Below are 22721 nucleotides of genomic sequence, written 5' to 3'. Positions count from 1 at the left end.
TTATTGTCAAGATAGTGAACATATAAATCCACAGAATGTTTCCTCATGACTACTTTTAATAATCCCCTCTTGCAATTATTGTCTCTCCTAATAAGCATATTAGCTAGACAACTGCTGACCATCTTTCAGTATTGTATGTTACTGTATATTGTATATTGGTGCATTCAGAAGTTTTATATAAATGGAATCATATAAGGTGCACTATTTTTTGGCTGGCATTTTTGCTTTACAGCAAAATTCTTTTGAAATTCATTCATGTTGTTGCATGTGTCAGTAGTCGAACATTTTTATTGCTGAGCAGAATTTTGCTGTATGTATATATCACCAATTACTTGTTAATGAATATTTGGGTCATGACCACGTTTTAGCTATTAAAGAGAAAATGCCTATGAACATTTATATACAACAATTTCTTTTTCATTTTTCGAGGGGGAAATATCTAGAAGATAAATGACTAGATTAAGTGGTAAGTGTAGGTTTACTTTTTTAAGAAGCTGTCAATCTATTTTACAAAGTGGTTGTCAATCAAAAGTATATTAAAGTTTCAGTTCCTCCATTTTGTTGCCTATACCTGGTAGGGTCAATACTTTTTTTTCACTTTGGACATTGTAATAACTATCAATAGTATTTCTTTGTGGTTTTCAATTCTTTAATGACTACAGATGTTAAAATCTTTTGATATACTTATTTGTCATCCATGTCTTCTTTCATGGTGTCTTTTTCAATCTTTTGCCTTTTAAAAATTGGGTGATTTGTTTTATTTTTGATTTTTGACAGCTTTTATATATTCTTTATGAAAGTAATTTATTAGTGTGTTGGGGCTCCTTATGACCACCCTTAGGCTCAAAGATTAACTACAATGATTCACAGGTCTTAGAAAACATGTTACATTCATAGTTACAGTTTACTACAATGAAAAGATACAGATTAAAATCAACAAAGAAAAAAAGCCCATGGGGAGAAATGTAGATATCAGGTACAAGCTTTCAGGTGTCCTCTCCCAGCGGAATCCCACAAGAACACACGTAATTCTCCCAGCAACAATATTTGACAGCATATTGAAGTGTTGTCAATCAGAGAAGCTCATTTAAGTTTTGGTCTCCAGGGCTTTTACTGGGCATCAGTCATGTAAGGTGGTGCCTATATGAGTGATTTCAGCTACTCAGACTACAGCATCTGTCAGAGCAAATATAGCCATTCACTCTAAATTATATTGTTAGGATAAACTTATCTGTTCAAATGAGCACAGCATGGTCCAAGGCCTCAGACGCTGAAAACCACTTGTGCACTGTACTCTAAAGCCAAAGATGTATGGAAACACTGTCATCAGGTAGAATATATTAAGGGCCCACAGGTTATCTTCCAAAAGCCAGCCAAGTGCCAGTTCTAAAGATAAACATTAGTCCTGATGAGATAAACCTTTCTTGGCCAATAAGATATATGCTATTCAAATGTTTTCTCAGTTCATAGCTTTTTAAAAAAATATTTTTAAATGCCATTTTCCATTCCTATTAAGCATAGTATTGAAAGTTCTGGCCAAGGCAATCAGGCAAGAGAAAGCAATAAAGGGTATTCAAACAGGAAGAGAGGAAGTCAAATTGTCTCTGTTTGCAGATGACAAGATTGTATATTTAGAAAACCCCATCGTCTCAGCCCAAAATCTCCTTAAGCTGATAAGCAACTTCAGCAAAATCTCAGGATTCAAAATCAATATGCAAAAATAACAAGCATTCCTATACAACAATAACAGACAAACAGAGAGCCAAATCATAAGTGAACTCCCATTCACAATTGCTACAAAGAGAATAAAATACCTAGGAAAACAACTTACAAGGGATGTGAAGGATCTCCTCAAGGAGAACTACAAACCACTGATCAAGGAAATAGGAGAGGACACAAACAAATGGCAAACTATTCCATGCTCATGGATAGGAAGAATCAATATGAAAATGTCCATACTGCTGAAGTAATTTATAAATTCAATGCTATCCCCATCAAGCTACCATTGACTTTCTTCACAGAATTAGAAAAACCTACTTTAAATTTCATATGAAACCAAAAAAGAGGTTGTATAGCCAAGACAATCCTAAGCAAAAAGAACAAAGCTGGAGGTATCATGCGACCTGACTTCAAAATATACTGCAAGGCTACAGTAACCAAAACAGCATGGTACTGGTACCAAAACAGATATGTAGACCAACAGAACAGAACAGAGGCCTAAGAAATAATGCCACACATCTACAGCCATCTGATCTTTGACAAACTTGACAAAAACAAGCAATGGGGAAAGGATTCCCTATTTAATAAATGGTATTGGGAGAACTGGCCAGTGGAAAACTGAAACTGGACCCCTTCCTTACATCTTACACAAAAATTCACTCAAGATGGATTAAAGACTTAAACATAAGACCTAAAACTATAAAAACCTTAGCAGAAAACCTAGGCAATACCATTCAGGACATAGGCATGGACAAAAACTTCATGACTACAACACCAAATGCATTGGCAACAAAAGCCAAAATTGATGAATGGGATCTAATTAAACTAAAGAGCTTCTGCACAGCAAAATAAACTATCATCAGAGTGAACAGGCAACCTACAGAATGGGAGAAAATTTTTGCAATCTATCCATCTGACAAAAGGGCTAATATCCAGAATCTACAAATAACTTAAACAAATTTGCAAGAAAAAATACAAACGACCCCATCGAAAAGTGGTCAAAGGATATGAACAGACACTCCTCAGAAGAAGACATTTATGCGGCCAAAAAACATGTGAAAAAAAGATCATCATTCGTCATTAGGGAAATTCAAATCAAAACCACAATGAGATACCATCTCACTCCAGTTAGAATGGTGATCATTAAAAAGTCAGAAAACAACAGATGCTGGAGAGGATATGGAGAAATAGGAACACTTTTACACTGTTGATGAAAGTGTAAATTAGTTCAACCATTGTGGAAGACAGTGTGGTGATTCTTCAAGGATCTAGAACTAGAAATACCGTTTGACCCAGCAATCCCATTACTAAATAGAAAAAGGATTATGAATTATTCTACTATAAAGACACATGCACGCGTAGGCTTATTGCAGCACTGTTCACAATAGCAAAGACTTGGAACCAACACAAATGCCCATCAGTCATAGACTGGATAAAGAAAATGTGGCACATATACACCATGGAACACTATGCAGCCATAAAAAAGGATGAGTTCATGTCCTTTGCAGGGACATGGATAAAGCTGGAAACCATCATTCTCAGCAAACTAACACAGGAACAGAAAACCAAACACCACATGTTCTCACTCATAATTGGGAGCTGAACAATGAGAACACATGGACACAGGGAGGGGAACATCACACACTGGGGCCTGTCAGGGGGTGGGGGGCTTGGGGAGGGATAGCATTAGGAGAAATACCTAAAGTAGATGATGGGTTGAAGGGTGCAGCAAACCACCATGGCATGTGTATACCTATGTAACAAACCTACACATTCTGCACATGTTTCCCAGAACTTAAAATATAATAATTTTTAAAAAAGAGTAAAAATTTTCACTTTTGAAGAAGTTCAAGTTAACATTTTATTTTACAAATTAAATGTTTAATGTCATATACAGCACTTATTTGTTTCAACTAAGGTCACAAAGATTTATCTTATGTTTATATCTAGGATTTCAATACATTCAGGTTGGCTTTTTATTAATGTTTATATATTTTGCAAGCTATGAATCAAATTTGTTTTTCTATTGCTTATAAATACCCAACTGTTTTACATTTCTTGCTTTGAAAACTATTCCATTTCTTCAAAGCTCATACTTTCCCTAATGAATTGACTTGCTACTTAAAAAAAAATTAACTATATGTGTAAATCTGTTTTTGTATTTTCTATTCTGTTCTGTTGATCTATTTAGTCTTTCTTGAGGACAATATCACACAGTCTTGACTATTTCAAAATCATGAACATGGTATATCTCCCCAAATTTTATCTTTTATTTGAGATATCTGGAAAGCATATAGGTCTAGAAGTTGAAATTTGTTTTACCTATATTAGTTAGTCTTCAAGTAGAAATGATGATGGAAAAGATGGCAGTGATCAAAATTACCTAGGGAGAATGTATAGCATGAAAGAGTAATAGGCAGTTCATGCAGATCTCTGATTTAGCTTACACACCTAGAGGAAGATTAAATGAAGATCAATTTGCAAGTGAATTTAAAATTTTGTTACAAAATTTTAGGAGCTAAATTAGGACACTGCGGTGTTACAGAATCTAAAGAACTATTTTGAGCTGCTTTTGAAAAATAAACATAAAAGTTACCAATCTGTATGATTGACTTTTGCAACATTTTCTCATTGAAAACACATATTCTACAAAAAAAATTATTTTTGTAACCTTATCATTTGGGACTCACTTGATCTAGCAGATCTAAGTACTTATACGTTTTTACGTATGTTCCCATCTATAAATTATCTATTATATTTTCAATGACATTTTCTTCTAATAAAAGCATGCTCAATTTTAACCATTTGTCTTAACTTATTTTGGAGATTCAAGGTACATTTTGTTGTTGTTTTTATTATTTTATTTTACTTTAATTTCTGGGATACATATGCAGAATTTGCAGGTTTGTTACATAGGTATACATGTGCCACCTATCAAACCATCATCCAGGTTTTAAGCCGCATGCATTAGGTATCAGTCCTAATGCTCTCCCTCCCCTTTCCCTCCATGCCCCAAGAGGCCCCACTGTGTGTTGTTCCCCTCCCTGTGTCAATGTGTTCTCGTTGTTCAACTCTCACTTATGAGTGAGAACATGCGGTGTTAGGTTTTCTGTTCCTGTGTTAGTTTGATGAGGATGGTGGTTTCCATGTTCCTACAAAGGATATGATCTAGTTCTTTATATGGCTGCATAGTATTCCATGGTGTATATATACCACATTTTCTTTATCTAGTCTATCACTGATGGGCATTTGGGTTGGTTCCACGTCTTTGCTATAATAAATAGTGCTGCAATAAACATATGTGTGCATGTGTCTTCATAATAGAATGATTTATATTCCTTTGGGTATATACCAAGTAATGTGACTACTGGGTCATGGGATTTCTGATTCTAGATCCATAAGGAATCTCCACACTGTCTTCCACAATGGTCGAACTAATTTTCATTCCCACCATTCAAGGTATTTTTGATGGTTTGTTTGTTTGTCTATTTTGCATTTCATTTGTTTTTGTAAAGGGAGAAAATTTTGGACTTAGGGAATACCATAATGCTTTAAACTTCGAGTTATTTCTTCTTTTTTTTCTCAAATAATGTCATTTTGTCATAGATCTCTGAAAATGACCTTGAAAACTTCCCATAAAAATCAACAGAACTTATGATGTTCAGAGCATAAGAAATAAATGTCACCTTACAAGATTCATCAAAATGAGCTTAGATGAAATTTTAATTGCCATACTCAAGCCACTTAAATAGTTAACCAAGACATTCTCCCTTGTTTCTACAGTGATACATAGTATTGAAAATTGCTTTGACTGTACACTCAAATTATTACAGTTCAACTTTCTTCAACATCATAAATTGAAAGGATATCATGTGGATCTTTGTTGTTCCCAATTAGAATTGAAAATAACTTCTGGCCAAATTAGTAGTGTAGAGACTTATGGAATGAAGTCAATTTAAAACAGAATTTTTTTGAGTTAATGATAAGAAAGAGTTTGTTGCAATAAAATTCTTTGAAATTTTAGATATGAAATTGGTACAAAAACTTAATACAAATTCATCTACCTGATTTTTTTGTGGCAATGTCACTAATAATAGAAATATGGTCTCATCTTTCCTAAATATTTTGCTCATGCTCTTTGACAATACTGTAAAATGTACTTAAACTACATAAGAATCTTCTAGTAAAATAAAATGCAACATTTCACTTAGAAGTAAAACATTTTTAAAATAGTGTCCAACAATTGCTTCAAGATGGTGACAACCTATGAACACCCTTTTCTAAGTGTTTCCACCCTAATTGGCTTTTTTTTTTTTTTTTTTTTTTTTTTTTGAGACAAAACCTTGCTCTGTTACCCAGGCTGCAGTGCAGTGGTGTGATCTTGGCTCACTGCAACCTCTGCCTCCTGGGTCCAACGGATTCTCCTGCCTCAGCCAACCAAGTAGCTGGGATTAGAAGCAACTGCCACAATGCCCCGTTAATTTTTGTGTTTTTTGTTTGTTTGTTTGTTTGTTTTAGTAGAAGTGGGTTTCACCATGTTGGCCTGGCTGGTCTCGAACTCCTGACTTCAAGTGATTCGCCTCCCAAAGTGCTGGAATTACAGGCATAAGTCACCATGCCTGGCCTCCCCTAATTCGCTTCTTTAATCCTCTCTACATCATCACAAGTTAGGTGTTACTATGATTACTATTTTACAGGTGAGCATATGAGACACAGAGAGGTTAAGGAGGAACAGGGTGATCTGCTACAACTCTTCAGCAGGGCATTCTGGGTAGGACTGTCTAACTTGTGAGAGCCAAGGGGACTATTTATAGCCTATGTATTCCCGTTAAAGTAACAAACATATATCAAGAATAAATATTACAGTATATTTCTAGCAACCATCTAGAAATAGGAAATCGTATCAGTACCATATTGTCAGATGACAGTAGGATTAAATAAAACCGGAGTGACTAAGTAACTCACCCTTTATTCACTGCATTTAAAAGAAAAGTATGTATTGGAGTTGAATTAAGTAACCTGGGATAGATCTCTAAAAATCCGTAAGTGAAGCAGGGGTCACATATTAACATGTTGTACTAGAAACAGTGTCTAAGAAAGGAATTTGGCACTGGAATCTACACAGGGAACAACTAAATTATCCATAAATTTTTTTACTTTATCTTGAAAAAGGTATAGTACCAAAAACTCCAGAAACACTGCTAGACCCTCCATAATATGTGTGGGCTCTAAGATAAGAGTGGAAATAGGGCCCACATAACATATGTATAAATATTTTAACATTATAAAGCAAACTACTCCAATAATCTGGCCTGCGTTTCCACCTAGGTTCTCAATGGCCCACTTCCTGACCACCACCCTCTGGAGTCCAAAGGAGATTTGCTTATTCCCAGTGTTATTCCTGCAGGTCAGCCAAAGAGGAGCAAAGAGTCATCTACCTCAATCATGTTCAGGAAATGATCAGGTCAAGATGTGGAGTGAGCAAGCTTTTCTCTTTTGTGCCACATTTTCTGACCCAGTATTTCAAGGTACTTCTAATACACAAAGACTATTACAAGAGGGAGGAAGGAAGGAAGGTCAGTTATCTGAATAACTGAGGCTAGCTAGAAGCCCAAATTTGGTATGATGGGGGCCATCAAATCTCAACAGAAACAGCTTTCTCTCTCTGTTAACCTGGACAGGGCTTGTGATTTTTTTTTTTTTTCCTCCACTCAGCCATAGACTCTCAGCTACATATACTCTAGCCTGGAGTGGTCAAATCGGCTCATCTCTTTCTCTCTCATACCAAACTTTCAAAAACAAAACAAAACAAACCAAAAAACACTTTTGTTATTGGAATAAATGAGAAAGATGTATTTGTGTTTATCTGTGATACATGGACCATCAAAAGCCTCGCTGCTAATGAAGGCAATTATTTAGGTTTACTTAATCTATTAACTTATCAGTTAATAACTGCTATTTATTCTGCTAGAAATTCCCAATGGTACAATTGTTTCTGGCTGTAGCTCCTTCCATGCTTTGTACATCCTACTTGTGGTAGGCAGAATCACGGCTCTCCACGAATGATGTGATTTGGCTGTATCCCCACCCAAATCTCACCTTGAATTGTAATAATTCCATGTGAAGAATGGGGTCAGGTAGAGATGATTTAATCATGGGGACGGTTTATCCCATGCTGTTCTTGTGGTAGTGAATAAGTTTCATGAGATCTGCTGGGTTTATAAACGGGAGTTCCCCTGCACAAGCTCTCTTGCCTGCCACCACGTGGGATGCGACATTGCTTCTCATTCGCTTTCCACCATGATTTTGAGGGCTCCCCATCCATGTGGAACTATAAGTCAGTTAAACCTCTTTCTTTTATAAATTACCCAGTCTCAGCTGTGTCTTTATTAGCAGTGTGAGGACAAACTAATACAACGGGTGTCCACATTCTAGTCCTCAGAATTTGTGAATATGTTAGTTGCATGGCAAAGGAAAACTGAAATTGTAGACTAAACTAAGGTTGTTCATCAGTTGATATTAAGATAGGAAAGTTATTCTGGATTATCCTGATGTGACCAAAATAATCAGAAGGACATTTACAAGTGGAAGAAGGAGGCAGAAGAAGTTAGAGTGATGAGATGGGAACTCACAAACTGCCATTGCTGGCCCTTTAAAACAATTTAAATCTTGTTTTATGACACATAATTATTGTACATATTTATGGCATACAGTGTGATGTTTCAACACGTGTATGTATAGTTTAAATATTGAATCAGGATATTCAACATATTCTTCACTTCATACATTTTTGATATCTTTACGGTGAGAGAATTCAAAAATCCTCTCTTCTAGCTATTTTGAAATATACAATACAATATTGCTAACCATAGTCACCCTGACTCCATTCCTCATTTTAGAAATGGAGGAAGGGACAGTGATTAAAGGAATGCAAATAGCCTCTGGGCTGTGGAAAACCAAAGGAAACAAACTCTTCCCACAGACCCCCCAAAGAAAAACCCAACCCTGGCAGTATCTTGGTTTTACCATGGTGTGATCAAGTCAGATTTCTGTCTTACAGAACTGTAACATAATAAATCTGTATTGTTTAAGCTACTAAGTTTGAAGTAATTTTACTAAAACTTGAAAGGAATTTACATTTTGCTTTTAAAGTTTTGAAACTTTAGACAGAGATCAACAAATCCTCACAAAAGATAGCTCAAATTTTACCTTTGAAAAAGGAATTATGTTACATATCTATAAGAATGAATAACTACAGCACAGAAAAATACTCATAAGTAATATATTATTTGAAATCAGGAGTCTAATAAGAGAAAATGCAAATGGACCCTTTTCTATGAGATTTAGATAAATTACATGAAAAAATATGTGTGATAAGAGGTATGTGTTCTGAGTTAATACATATACTTATAAAATCTGAAAAAATTGCAACAGGAACAATAAATATGGAAATTGAAATCACAAAAAAATCAATGAATTTGAAGACCATTTGGAGAAATGCTTATATCATCTTAAGATTAATTTATTCTAATCATGCACCAGTGATAGTATTATAAGAAAAAATAAATTCATTATCATTTTTTACTGTATTTATTTTTTAAGACAGAGATTGGTACTAATTCAGTAATGGAAAACTAATTGTAAAATTTGTACTGTGGTAAATTTGGAAAACAAGGCATGGCACAGAAAGAGCATATAATAAAATAATTTGGCATAAAGGCCATTTGAAAGGGATTAATTATAGTGACGAAACATGTCATCATTTCCTGGACAAGTAGGGAAGATAAGCAATGAGAAGGCTATGGAGGAGAGAGAAGAGAGTAGAGTCCATAGAGTGACAGTCTTCAAGAGGTTAAAACCTGTACGAGTTCAGGTCTTGAACAAGTGATATTGGATGAAATGGGAGGTAGAGAGGACCAAAGAGTAGGATATTTTAATTTTTTTAAAATATTGAGAAACATTTGCTGTCTAAAATAGAGAAGAAATGTTATTAACATGCATGGTGGTCAAGAAACTGACAGGTAAGATTTGAAAGTGTTACCAGTTTGAGGTAAGCACAATAGAGAATAACGACAGAGTTTATAATGGAGAGAATGTCTTTGAAAGCCAAAAGCAAAAGTTGTCTTAATAGAGAAAGAAACCAAACAAAGGTTTGAAAAAGCATTTGAATGGAAAGTTTGGTGTAGACTTACGTTATGAACCATAAACTGTCAAAGTTTATTGGTGATGCTTGTTGGTTTATTTACTTGTTGGTTTTCAGAAGGAAAGAACTATAATAGACTGATAACTACAAATTAACTGAAATTGTATATACCCCGCATCCTCATCATTAGGCAGGTGAAGATGGGGTGAGCAAAATAGTAGCAACCCATTGAAAGGGCTGTTGAAGGGGTTATATTTTCCAGACATATCAGGAGTTCAAATTTTTATTAAAAATGCAAAAACAGTTTGCTAATCAGAACATAAGCATTCAATATCTATCACTATCAAGATGTGAGATAAGGGATAGGTAATTGATTCTGTTGGAAAAGCAGAGTCATATAATGATGAAAGTCTGATAATACCTCTGTGACTTGAAAGTGACAGAAGTAAACAGGAACATGAAGCAAAGAGTTTTAGTTCTGATAGTCTCTTTGAGGAGGAGGAATAATGGCACTATTGTCATTTTTTGAATATTTCCCCTAGTATTTTTAGTGATTTCACAAATCGTTCTAATGCCTTAAAGGACTACCACTCTGGAATATCACTCAAAGCAATGTTCTTGTGAGGATTAGGCTTAATGAAAAGTCCTGTAATGCTTGGACACATGGAAAGCTGACCAGTATTAGATAAAACAAAATTGTTATAGTTGGGAATTATTACTATAGGTATTTTCCTCATCATTTTGCAACATTTATAATTTTTTCTTAATGAAATATGTTGATTTTTCAGTGTTTTTATAGTAAAATTGTATTACATTTAAAAAATTAATAGAGAACTATTCTGTTGAAGACAATGAATGCATATTATGCTTAACATGTTAATATGTGTTTCACATTATTTATAGATTTTGTCTACAGCATTGAAATTTGCTAGAATGCTGCATATGTAGAGCTTAATGTAATCACTTCCTAACTATAATCTCTGGAGCCAACCCAGTTACAACAAAATTAACTCTAATTTTGTGTCTTTTATTTGTTTCTACTTCTAGGTTAAATATGGTTTGAGAAAAGTGTTTTAGAAAACTTTGAAAAATCACTGGCTTGTTAGAATGCATGTTCTATTAAAAGATATGAGTCCTATCTCCAGGTTACTTAAAATATTAGTTTTATTCCAAATTGTATTCTAGTTTTCCTATCTTTAAAATATGTTCATGAAACATTTCTCTTCTCTTATGAAGTTAAATGTTCTTTTAAGTTTGAAATTTATTAGAGAACTCTGATATATGATTTTTAAAAAATAACACTCTGAATTACTTTCTAAAATGGAAAGCAACCCTAAAACAAAAAGATATTACCAATATTCAGTTTTACCTCTGGCTTCAACTTATTTTTCTCTCAAGATCTTATTATTCTCTTCTCCAGCTACCCAAGGTGCGAAAAGGAAAGAAGGCCAAAGGGAAGAAGGTGGTGCCGACCCTTGCTGTCTTGAAAAAGCAGGAGACCGTGAAAGTGGTGAATCTTCCGTTTGAGAAATTTGGCACTGGACAGGACATTTTGGCATTGGACAGAACATCCAGCCCAAAAGGCACCTCACTTGCTTTGTCAAATGGCCCCATTATACTAGGTTGCAACAGCAGAGAGCCATCCTCTATAAGCAGCTAGAAGTGCCTTCTGTGATTAATCAGTTCACCAGGGCCTTGGACCACCAAACAGCTGCTCAGTGGGGTAAGCTGGCTGGCAAGTACAGACCACAGACAAAGCAAGAGAAGCAGCAGAGACTGTTGGCCTGGGCTGAGAAGAAAGCAAAGGAGACATCCCCACTAAGAGATCACCTGTCCTTTTAACGGGGGTTAACTCTGTCACCACCTTAGTGAAGAAAAAGAAGGCTCAGCTGGTGGTGACTGCACAGGACATAGATCCCATTGAGTTGGTTGTCTTCCTGCCTGCCCTGTATTGTAAACTGAGCGTTCCTTACTGCATTGTCTAATGGAAGGCAAGCTTGAGACATCTAGGATTAAAAAACAAACAAACGAACAAACAAACAACAACTCTTTAAAATATTCTTTTAAAACTTCTAATTATTAGTTTTTTTTTAAATCTCTTCAGTACATTAAAATGTCTGGTGGTAGGAAAATACTGGACTCATATATGACTGTCTACTTGATTTGCAGGGCCCAGTGCAAAATGAAATGGATGTTGTACCTCGTTCAAAGTGTTAAGCGTTTCAAGATGGCAACAGCAGAGCATTAGGCCAAGTATGAGGTCATTATGTACATGGGTCCTCGTGTGACCACACAGGTCACAGGAACATGAAGCTAGACCTGAGTGTATATTCAGATAGGTAAATCTTACAGATTTTTAAAACTCAATAAAAGAAAAACTACATTTCATGTATAAACACAAAAATTGGAATTAAATTGGCAATAGCATTGGGATTTGTGCTCAGAGTCACAGTTTACATCTGACCACAATTTCCATATGAATTTATTAAGATAAAACAGTAAGAATTTTAAAGAAGGTTTCTGAAATTTAAAAATTATAATAACATAATTAACTTTGATATTTTAATTCCATGTAATTTAAAACATTTAATAGATATATAATGTTCCACTATTAATTTAACTAGAAGTATAAAAATAAAACATATATAATAAAAATATTCTACTTACTTTTAAATTATCTATATTATACTGAGTAAAAGAAAATTTAGGAATATAAATAAATGAGCATTTTTGAACACATAAAAATATTTTCTTGCTGTTTTTAGGAGACTTTTAGCAGGAGAGGAGCTTACCTCTCATCTACCTCTGCTTGGACAAACCAGTGATGTGATTTGCAAATAGGTTGTAACTTCACCCAAAACACATCACAGTAAAGAAATGTAGTGACTTCCAGAGAATTTGACCTAACTAAGAATTTGTAAAAGAGAAAAGCATTGTCCTTATGCCTAAAGTACATGACTGTTTCTTTTTAAGTTACATGTATATTTACCTGACCAATTTGTTTTACTCTGTATTTCAAGTTATCAAGTGAAATTATTTTGGAATAAATTAATGAGTTGTTTGTTCTGAATAAATGTGCATGTTACAAATGCAAACACGTGTATGTATTATACAACTATGCAGCTTCAAGAGCTGACTTATTTCTATCAGCTTTTTATTCACTTTAAAAAATCAGGCTACTGAAGCATATTAGAATTTAATTACACCAATTAGTACTGCCACATCAGAAATATGATGCGCCTTCAATTAAGAAGTACCTAATGGGTATTAGTACAATTTAGCTTCATAATTAAACTTCTAAGAACAGCACAAATTAAACATTATGATTACAAAACATTAAAAATCTACTGGTGAAATTAAAGCTGAATATTTTAGCTTCTCCTTTTGAGCTGATTTTAAAAAAGAAAATCAGGATTATATAAAATGCAATGTTATTATTGAAGCATTCTGAATTTAAAAACAGAAATTAAGATCACATGCCCATAAATATGTGCATATATAATGATTAAATATTTAATAAAATATCCAACCTAACACTTATGTCATCTAATAAGCATTAAAGGTTATCATTTTGGAGTTTCACTTGATTGGGTTTTTTTTGTTTTGTTTTTTTCATAGAAATATTTGATATATGTGGTCACCACTCACAACTCTTGCTTCAGTGAGCATGGATGACAGGCAGCCCCAGCTACTGTTTTTCTGGTTGTATGACTATCTTTGCACTCAGGCCATATTTTCTCTGGCTGTTCCTGGCCAATGACTGAGCATGCTGGGAGTATTGATGAAGGCCATTTTTAAGATTTGTGGTAACCTTCCAACAGAAGACTTTGGACTGGAGACTCCTATTGTCCGGGCCAAAATTTCCTAAACTGTGTTTCAGGCTGTGACTCTTTCATTCTCATCTTTCTTCCTTCTCCCCCTCTTTTGACAGAAGCCAGGCTTGCATCACTGAAGACTCCCTGCACTTAGGTCTGCTTTTTCTTCTTAATCTTTAACTAATGTTCCTCTTATAACCTTTTGAGTGACTAATAATTGCATAGTATCAGCTTCTTGGAAAACCTGACTTGATAAACTATCCTATTTGAAATACAGATATATACGCATTTAACAATTTTTGACATTATTAGCACATTGAGTATTAAATAGTATCTGAAGAGATACCTTTAAAAATGAAAACACCTTCCTATTGGGGTTTTCTTCAAAACAAATAGATTATTTTTAAAAAGATTACAACTATAGCAACTTCAGTCTCTCCTGTTTTATCTACTTGAGTGATTTGCTTTCTCTGCCTTTCTTAAAGTGATTGGTTAAAACGTTTTAGCACTTAGCAGTTTCTTCCTAGTTTTGCAGATATGGCCCTGAACTGGCTTATGAGTAAGGCAAATAGAGGATGTTCTTACTGGGCTAGTGCTTTTATTTCTCTCTTTCGCTTGTTCTATTTTTTAAGTGAAAATGGCATTAGCATCTTATTTGTCAGGCTTTCATTTTCGTGTTTGAGAATTCCACTTGTAGATAACCAATAGCTATAACCTGTTCAGGTCTTTAAAAAATATAGCTTATTGAATGAGCAGTCACACACAAGAAATTCCGTTCTTCCCATAGTCCATCATGCTTTACCCGTATTCAACTTCTCACTTCTGTATCTAAAAACACTAGATTTTATCATTCTACTTTAAAGTTTCTTTCTTTTTTTTTTTTTTTTACTTTTCCTAAAATACTCAAATTTCCATAAAGGAACAAGGGATAAAGCTTAAGCATAACTTCAAAAGAGACATAAGCAGCGTGAACAAGATCCAAACACAGGCTCTCTTGATGTAAAGATAGACCTTTAACCATGTGCAATCTGTCCATTAAGAAAATAGAGGACTCTAAACACAAAATTAAGAGTATAGTTCTCTCTGTGTGGCTGAAAAAGAGTGAAAGATAACTGCAAAATTATTGATACTGTTCTTATGCTTAAATTGGGTTGTGTGTTTACATGTGTTCATTATGTTAATATGTCTCATAGGTTAGGTATCTTAATCAAATATGCAGTTATATAAATACAATACACTGAGATAAGATAACTAGCAACACATTGAAACAAAAAACAAGAATAGGATTGAATACTGTCATGATCTTTATAAGGCCTGGCCTTTCACTATGTAAATAGATATCTTTTAGTCCAAGAAATCGCAGAACTTACACATTTTTAGAAAAAGAAGAAAAAATTCATAGAATAAATTAATTTTATGTCCTGTAAGCAAAAGTCTACTAAGGTGAATTCATAATATCCCATAACAGCAAAAAAGAATGCATTCAGAAGTCCTAAATCTATAAACAATAAAAATAGTTAAGCACATAGAATTTACTTAAGTTCAAAAGCATCATGTTCATTAGACTTATATAATTCTTGTAGCGTTTAGTACATCCTGGATAATTCTTATTCCCATTGTTTGTTGCTAAGCACATTGAAATTTCACATTAATAATATTATTATTTTTTAACTTTCATTTGTATTGTAACTGTTGGTTTTAACTGATGAAGATGCAAAACAAAAATAAACATTCAGGTAAATAACTATTTTCTAGAAAGATCCAACCTGTAAGCTAGCAATATGGTTTGATTCTTTCTTTTAAAGTTATGTTATTATAAGTATATAAGCAATTCAGATAATAGATCCTGGGTTATGATGCATATCGTATTTGCATAAGCTTAATATATTTTAAAGATAACCAAAAAAGATAATGTATAATTAAAACTATAAATAAACACATTACTCAACATAATTACTCCTTAAATATTCAGTCCATTTAATATAGGTCTTTGCTGCTGTAAATGAACTCCCATGAGCTTCTAGAGAGACTCGTTTTATTAAATGTTATAGTCTCTGGCTCTGACCAATCATAGCGCTATAGACACTGTTATAAACAATGTAATAAGCTGCTAAAAAAGCAAGAGGTATTTTTTATTTTTTTGTAATTTGATTTTATTATCATGTTTTCATACCCACACAAAATAATCAATACATTAACATACAACCATCACACATATTCAACAATTATCATAATTTTATTGTTTCTGCTTAAGGTATCCCTGTTCTCTTCTTGCCAAATTATTTTAAAAATATATCTCAGAATGTAATTTTATACCTACATACTTAAGGATACATCTCTAGAAAATGCAGATATTTAATAATACATTGTTGCACAGTTTATTTTTCTTCAGGGTCTCAATTCAAATATTGTTTGTTATTAAAAAACCGCCTCTAGCATATGTTTTACTATATATTTAAGAATATAATTTGGAAAAAAAAAGTCTGACACATAGTCCATGTTCAATTTACCTCTTCAACTAATCTACTAAAAGGAAAAAAATGACACCAATACTTATTACTCTTCCCTGAAGTTATCTTATGATATTTTTAGATTTTGAAATCCTGTAAAGTGTGCTCATTATTGGTTTCAAGTACATGTTTCCTAACTCATTTCAATCTCTTCTATAATCAAGTGCAAGAGAAAATATAAAATAGGCCCTATGATTGTAGAAATAAAAGTGGAAAAAACTAGCCTAGAGTTCATAAAAGTAGACATATAAAAATCTTGAAATGATAAAGGCCATAATCAATTAATTGAAATTAAAATTATTCCTTTGAGTTATTTTTGGGTATTCTTCCAGTTTTAGTTTTTGTTTGTTTGTTTGTTTGATGTTGCAAATATCACAGTGTATGCCTTCTTCTTTTTTTTGAGACAGAGTCTCACTCTGTCGCCCAGGCTAGAGTGCAGTGGCGCGATCTCGGCTCACTGCAAACTCCACCTCCTGGGTTCACACCATTCTCCTGCTTCAGTCTCCTGAGTAGCTGGGACTACAGGCGCCTGCCGCCACGCCCGGCTTATTTTTTGTATTTTTAGTAGAGATGGAGTTTCACCGTGTCAGCCAGGATGGTCTCGATCTCCTGACCTCATGATCCGCCCGCCTCAGCCTCCCAAAGTGCTGGGATTACAGGTGTGAGCCACTGCGCCTGGCCAGTGTATGCCTTCTAAACGCAGAGACTGTAGTAAATATATATATAAATGTAACATAAGCATATAAAATAAAATGTGGCAATTACTATTCAATTAAAAATACAGGGACATTTGGGAGAGCATAACAAGTAAGGGAGTGAATACGTGCTGAGATAAATACATTTTTGTTACATGAGTCAGGAGTTAAAAAAATAAATGAAAGATGAGAGATTAGGATATAAAGTATATGGGGTGCCAGTTCATATAACACTTTATATTAAAGGAATTTGAGCTTTTGGGTGAAACAATGGAAGCTATTGGGAGTTTTAAGGGGATTTATATGAAGGAGGTACAATAGGAGTCTATAGCACTAATCTAAAGTGGTAAGTGAATGGAAGTCAAAGCTATTTAGTGGAGTAGGTTGAACCAAAATTGATGACTAAATACATGGTGTGTAAAGGAAAGGAAAAGTTTAAGACTGAGTCTTGGGTATCTGGCATGCATAGTATACTAACAATGATATACACAGTTACTTTCACGCTTACTGAATGAGTAGTGGTCAATGAAATACAGAACAAAGTCATGCAATTCACTTTCAAGTTGTGTTCTTAAAACTTCCCATGGCACCCATGAAGATTTCAAGAGTCATTTGTTATTATATCCCATCTTGACTAATACCAAGTTGTTAGAAAAAAATGAAATACTATTGTAACAATAAGCTAAAATAAGTGGTATTGTCTTAACAATGAGAAAGAGCATGCGGAAACTTCAGATCATAGATGATGAAAACTGTTTCCCCTATCCCCACTCCCAAGAAGGGAGAGGTTGAGATTATACAAAATGATTAATCGATGTGTTCTTCCCAGAAAAAAAAAAGGCAGAGTTTAATCAAATAACTTTTCCAACCTTTAGTATATGGTTCATTCAAACTGTCTGACCTGTAGTGTTTCAGAATTACCAATGGTCAGTGGTTTCTATGTACTATACCTTATATTTTGCCTTTCTAAATGGGCTATGAGCATTACATATCTTAGCTCATTTATCTTTTAAATAACTTTAAGAAGCTAGTATTATTATTAGCTCGATTTTGCTCGTGAGAACATTGAGATGTAGAGATTCAGAGTAGCCAGTGTTTGGTATAACTCTGATTTAAATTTAGTTCTGTCTTATTATAATATTAAACAAGTATGTGACTTCATAGTGTAATGAGTCTCATTCAAAATATACAGCAGTTGCAGCCTAACATCTTGTTACTTTAGGTGGTGACATAATGTACTGACTCATATTGAGCACTTCTAAGTGTAAGTTTTAAGTAGCTTTTTTTCTTTAGAAAGGTGCTGAAGATAATTCAAATACTTTTTTGCATATTATTTTGTGTCCCTGTAGATTGCTAGTACTACGAAGGCAGGGCCATATATATTGTATTCATCTCTCTATATTCATTTTCTAATGCTGGTCCAAGAAACAGGTTGAGATGTTAAGTAGGGAGGCCGTAGAAAACATCATTGAAAAGATAGCATTTATGCAAAAATTTAAAGGTGGTGAGGGATTAAACATGTAGATATCTGAAAGAAGGGAACCCAGGCAGAGGGAAAAGACAGTGCAAAAGCCCAGGACAGGCCCATATCTGGCTTGTTTGAAGGGGTTCAAGGAAACCAGTGTGGCTGGAGATGAGTGAGGAAGGGAAGTTAATGATGAGCACACAGAAGTAACTTGGGCCTTGATATACGTTTTTAATTTTAAAAAATATATATTATATTTAAATGACATAATAATTGTACATATTGACAGGGTATTTTAAAACTCACACTGCCTTAGAATTTTACCATCAATGAAAGAGAGGGTCACTATAGGTCCTAAGAAGAGAAGTGACATGCTCTTTTATGTAAAAATGATGACTGTGGATATTGTGTTGGTAACTGACTGTAAGGGGACACTTTTAGAAAAAGTCCCCTCTTTAGATATTGACTTTATCCAAGAGGAAAGCAGTAGTAATTCACACGTCAGTAGACATGGTGAGAAGTAGTAGATTCTAGATATTATAAAGTCTTTGAGTTTAAGCAACCAGAGGAAGGACTTGCCATCAAATGAAATGGATAAGCATAAACAGGTTTGGTAGTGGCTGGGAGATGGAAATCAGCAATTTCTCTTGAGTCATACTTACTTTGAGATTTCCATTAGGTATCTGAAGCAATCAGAAACTAGCCAGGAAAATTGAAATCATTGAGAATTTAAAACAAAGGGAATTGATACAGGTAATTGATGGTAAAAATAACTTTAAAAAAATTAAACCCAGCCAGGGGACAGTGAGGCAACCTACAATTTAGCAACAATGGGAGGCTACTATCACCTTCCCTTGGAGAACAGGGATAGGAGGCTGTACTACTGGAGCTGCAGGGAGGGATATCTGGGGGAAGTTGGAACCACAGTGGGCCTATGTAAAGGAGCAGGAGCCTGTAAAAAATGCAACTGTTATTAGGGATGACAGGGAGAAATTGAGACAATATCTAGATTTCTCCTTGTTCCTGCCTTTCATCTTTCTACATGAGTTTCCTATTGTTTGAGCCTACCTGGAAGCCAGCTTTCAGAAAATCTGAGATACGTAATCCACAGTGTTCATCCCCTCTGTCTTATGAACTGAGCTGGGCAGAGTGAGGAATGGGTCTCAGGAAAAATAGACCCATTATCATCACAACATTCAGGTGGAAGTGTAAAAAATGCAATTGGATTTATAAGTGTGGAATTTGGGATAGAGATATGGCATGGAAATATAAATTTGGGAGTCATTAGCATTTACAGTGCATGTAAAACCATGAGATTGGATGAGATAACCAAGGAAAGAAGTGCAGAGAAAGATGAGGGTGGGGGGAAATAAAATACTGAGGCCTGGGGCATTCCAACATTGAATCTGAGGAATAGAAGAAAACACTGAAAGAGAGAGAGAGAGGGAGACAGAGAGAGAGAGAGAGAGAGAGAGAGAAGTATACAAATAATATAAAACCAGGGAGTCAAATGAAGATAGTATTATGAGAATAATATACTTCAAATGCTGCTGATAAATCAAGTAAGGTGAGAAAAATAACTATAAGATTAACAAAGTGGAGGACAGGTTTAATTAGAGTACTGGGGGGCAAAAATCTATATGGAAGTGAAATGATTAAAGAGAAAATGCAACGAGCAAATGACACGGTGAGTATAAATTATCCTTTTAAAGAGTTTTGGTGAAAAAGGGATCAAATTCCCTGGTGGTATCTGACAATGAAAATGGGGAAAATGAAGAATACTGGTTGCTTATTTGCTTTTATTTTCTAATATGACAGAAGTAATAGCATATTTGTATGATCATGAAATGACCCAATAATGAGGAAAATTTGATTATGTATAAGAGGGGTAAGTATTGAAAAGTATCTGTCTATAACCTGTGTAGTCAGAAAGAGTTGATAAACAAGTAAAGGTGTAAGCTTGAGGTAGGTGTATAAACATTCCATTTCTGGCAGTGGTTTTCTTTAAGGAGAGATTTCACTCTGCAAGGAGCCAATTGGCAATGTTTGGAGATGTTTTCTGTTGTCACAACTTGTGAATGGAGTTACTACTAGCATCGAATTGGAGAGGCCAGGGATGTTGCTAAACATCCTGCAACATACAAGGCAATCTTTCCAACACCCCATCCCAAACATAGAATTATCTGGCTCAGTTTGTCCATAGTACCAGAGAAAAGACCCTGCTCTATTAATATGCAGGATGAGTAATGTGTAATTTTAGATACTGGCGTTAAGTATATGTAGTACTGGGAGTCTGCATGCATTTCCTCTTGATTGTTATTTATCTATCTATTTATTTATTTATTGACACAGGAAACAAGGTCATCACCTGGCATTGAGATTGAAGAAAAGTATGTGAGGGCTGTGAAATGAGGAAAGAATCCATAAGTTAATCTTACATAAGAGGAAGAAGGCAATGGCTAACAAAAGAAAAATGGGCTTGTTTGGCCGCATTAAAGGCACATTTGCTTTTCAAGGTTGTGGTTTTAAAGAGATAACAATCAGCACAATTTGGTTGTGTGTTTTTCTCCCACTGCAGTTTGGGTATAAAAGCAATTGCAAAATTGATGGAGACATGCATGAAACTAAGGCTATAGTTTTGCTAAGTCAGTCATGTTTAGTAGATAGAAACTTATTTGATGACCAAGGGTGGCACAAAATGTTTAAAAGACTGAATATGTGACATAATAAAGCACATTTATGAAACAGTAAATTGCTTTTTGTAAAGGTGGATTATTTGATGTATCTTGAAGAAGAAATAACAACTGTGAATCAAATATTTATTTATGAAATTGGCAGAGAGTAAAAGATTAAAGTTTTAATGATCAGATTGTCATTTTAGAGTAATTATCATTATACGACAGTGAAGAAAAGTTTGAAGAAGTTAAGTTATAGAAAAAGGATACTATTGTTTTAAATAAATGCACAGGTCTAGCTGTGATTTCATTAAGATGATTTCATAACTGTAACAGTAACAATAGGAATATTGAGGACAAGAATGTTGAGGACAGGAATTAAAGAGAAATTTATTGGTTGAAATAAATTAGGTTTTTAGATGCATTATGATTAATGTTTAAGAAGGAATATATAATTTCTAGTCAATATATAATAATGCAAATTTAACACATAAGAAATATTGATAGAAAAAGCATTCTACCTTAAACATATTGCTAGACCATGTGAGAGAGTTCTGTAGAATAGATTCAAGAATGGTGTGGAAAGAGGTAGTACCTCCTGATCAATTTTCTCCCCTGATGGGGTCAGGTGTGGAGGAAAACTCCTGGGAAATAAAGAAGTCAGGTGTTCTAGTTTAATTTTTCTGCAAACATATTAATGCAAGTCTCTTAGAAAATAAACTAAATAGTTTTTGGTAGCAAAAGAATCATTCTTCATAAAATGTTTTTAGCAGACCATGCGGAGTTGTCTAAAATTGCTTATGAAAAATAAGCCAGGAATCAATAAATGTAGGGTGATGATTCCCAAGAAAATGTCATGTTAGCTGTGTTGCTATCTAAGTATAAAAGGAGATGGTTTGTAACTGAGAATACACCTGAGTAAGTAAAGCAACTGTACATTTTACTTAGAAACCAAATCTAGAAACTTGGACCAGACCACATTCAATGAAGATGAAAGGACCCAGGTCTCTCCCCACTTAACCCATATATGATTATTTTATCTTTGAAATTATTCAGAAAGCATGATACTGAGCAAAATCTTCAATCTGAGTCTGATTTGACAATTCAATGCTTTTTGTGGGTTCAGATTGGCACTGTGAGCAGGATTGTCTTTTAGACCCACACATCAAAACAGTGAATGTTTTCTTTTTCTACCTGTGCTCCTTTTCAAAAGGAGATAATGGAAAAATATGAGAATTTGTTCTCAGGATAGTTGGCTGTACATTTTTGGTATGAGGTAGTGGAATCTTTGAGGCAGGCTAAGGGAAATAAGTCTTACCATTGAAATCTGGGGGCCATAGACTATAGTCTGGGAGTACAGGTCTAGGGAGTACATGGACAAAGGGAAATTGGGTGAAAATCCCATTGGCTGACTCCTGCTAGCATACCTGTAAAAGCTAACCTTTTAATAGGTTAGTTTTTAATAGGAGGAGATGATAGTGGGAGTAAAAGCTGCGAGATTACATTTTATTCGCTGGAAAACCTTCTTATCCCTCCCTGGTTTCTTGGAGAAATTTCATGTATCCTTAGAAATGACTCAAAATATTGATTATTGGACAAACTATTTATGCAATTGGAGTCCAAGGTCAGGTGATGAATGAAAACTATATTTTATTAAAGAACAGAATATTCACTAACAGAAGACTGGTGAATTAACATT

General features: G+C 34.4%; 1 long non-coding RNA gene and 1 pseudogene across 1 annotated transcript in view; one reads left to right on the top strand and one right to left on the bottom strand.

Moving 5' to 3' along the window:
• Window positions 1–434: 434 nt before the first annotated feature.
• LOC105377425 (uncharacterized) overlaps window positions 435–22721 on the bottom strand; it is a 64594-nt gene continuing 42307 nt past the window's right edge. Inside the window, exon 5 of the long non-coding RNA XR_007058477.1 lies at window positions 435–1176. This is a non-coding gene — a long non-coding RNA (uncharacterized LOC105377425). The remainder of the gene's footprint in view (window positions 1177–22721) is intronic.
• On the top strand, window positions 11298–11865 carry RPL7AP28 (ribosomal protein L7a pseudogene 28; annotated as a pseudogene).

Source organism: Homo sapiens, chromosome 4 (genome assembly GCF_000001405.40).
Source record: "Homo sapiens chromosome 4, GRCh38.p14 Primary Assembly".
Classification (NCBI taxonomy): domain Eukaryota; kingdom Metazoa; phylum Chordata; class Mammalia; order Primates; family Hominidae; genus Homo; species Homo sapiens.
The sequence above is the reverse complement of the archived record's forward strand: the minus strand, read 5'-3'. Positions and strand labels throughout refer to the sequence as shown.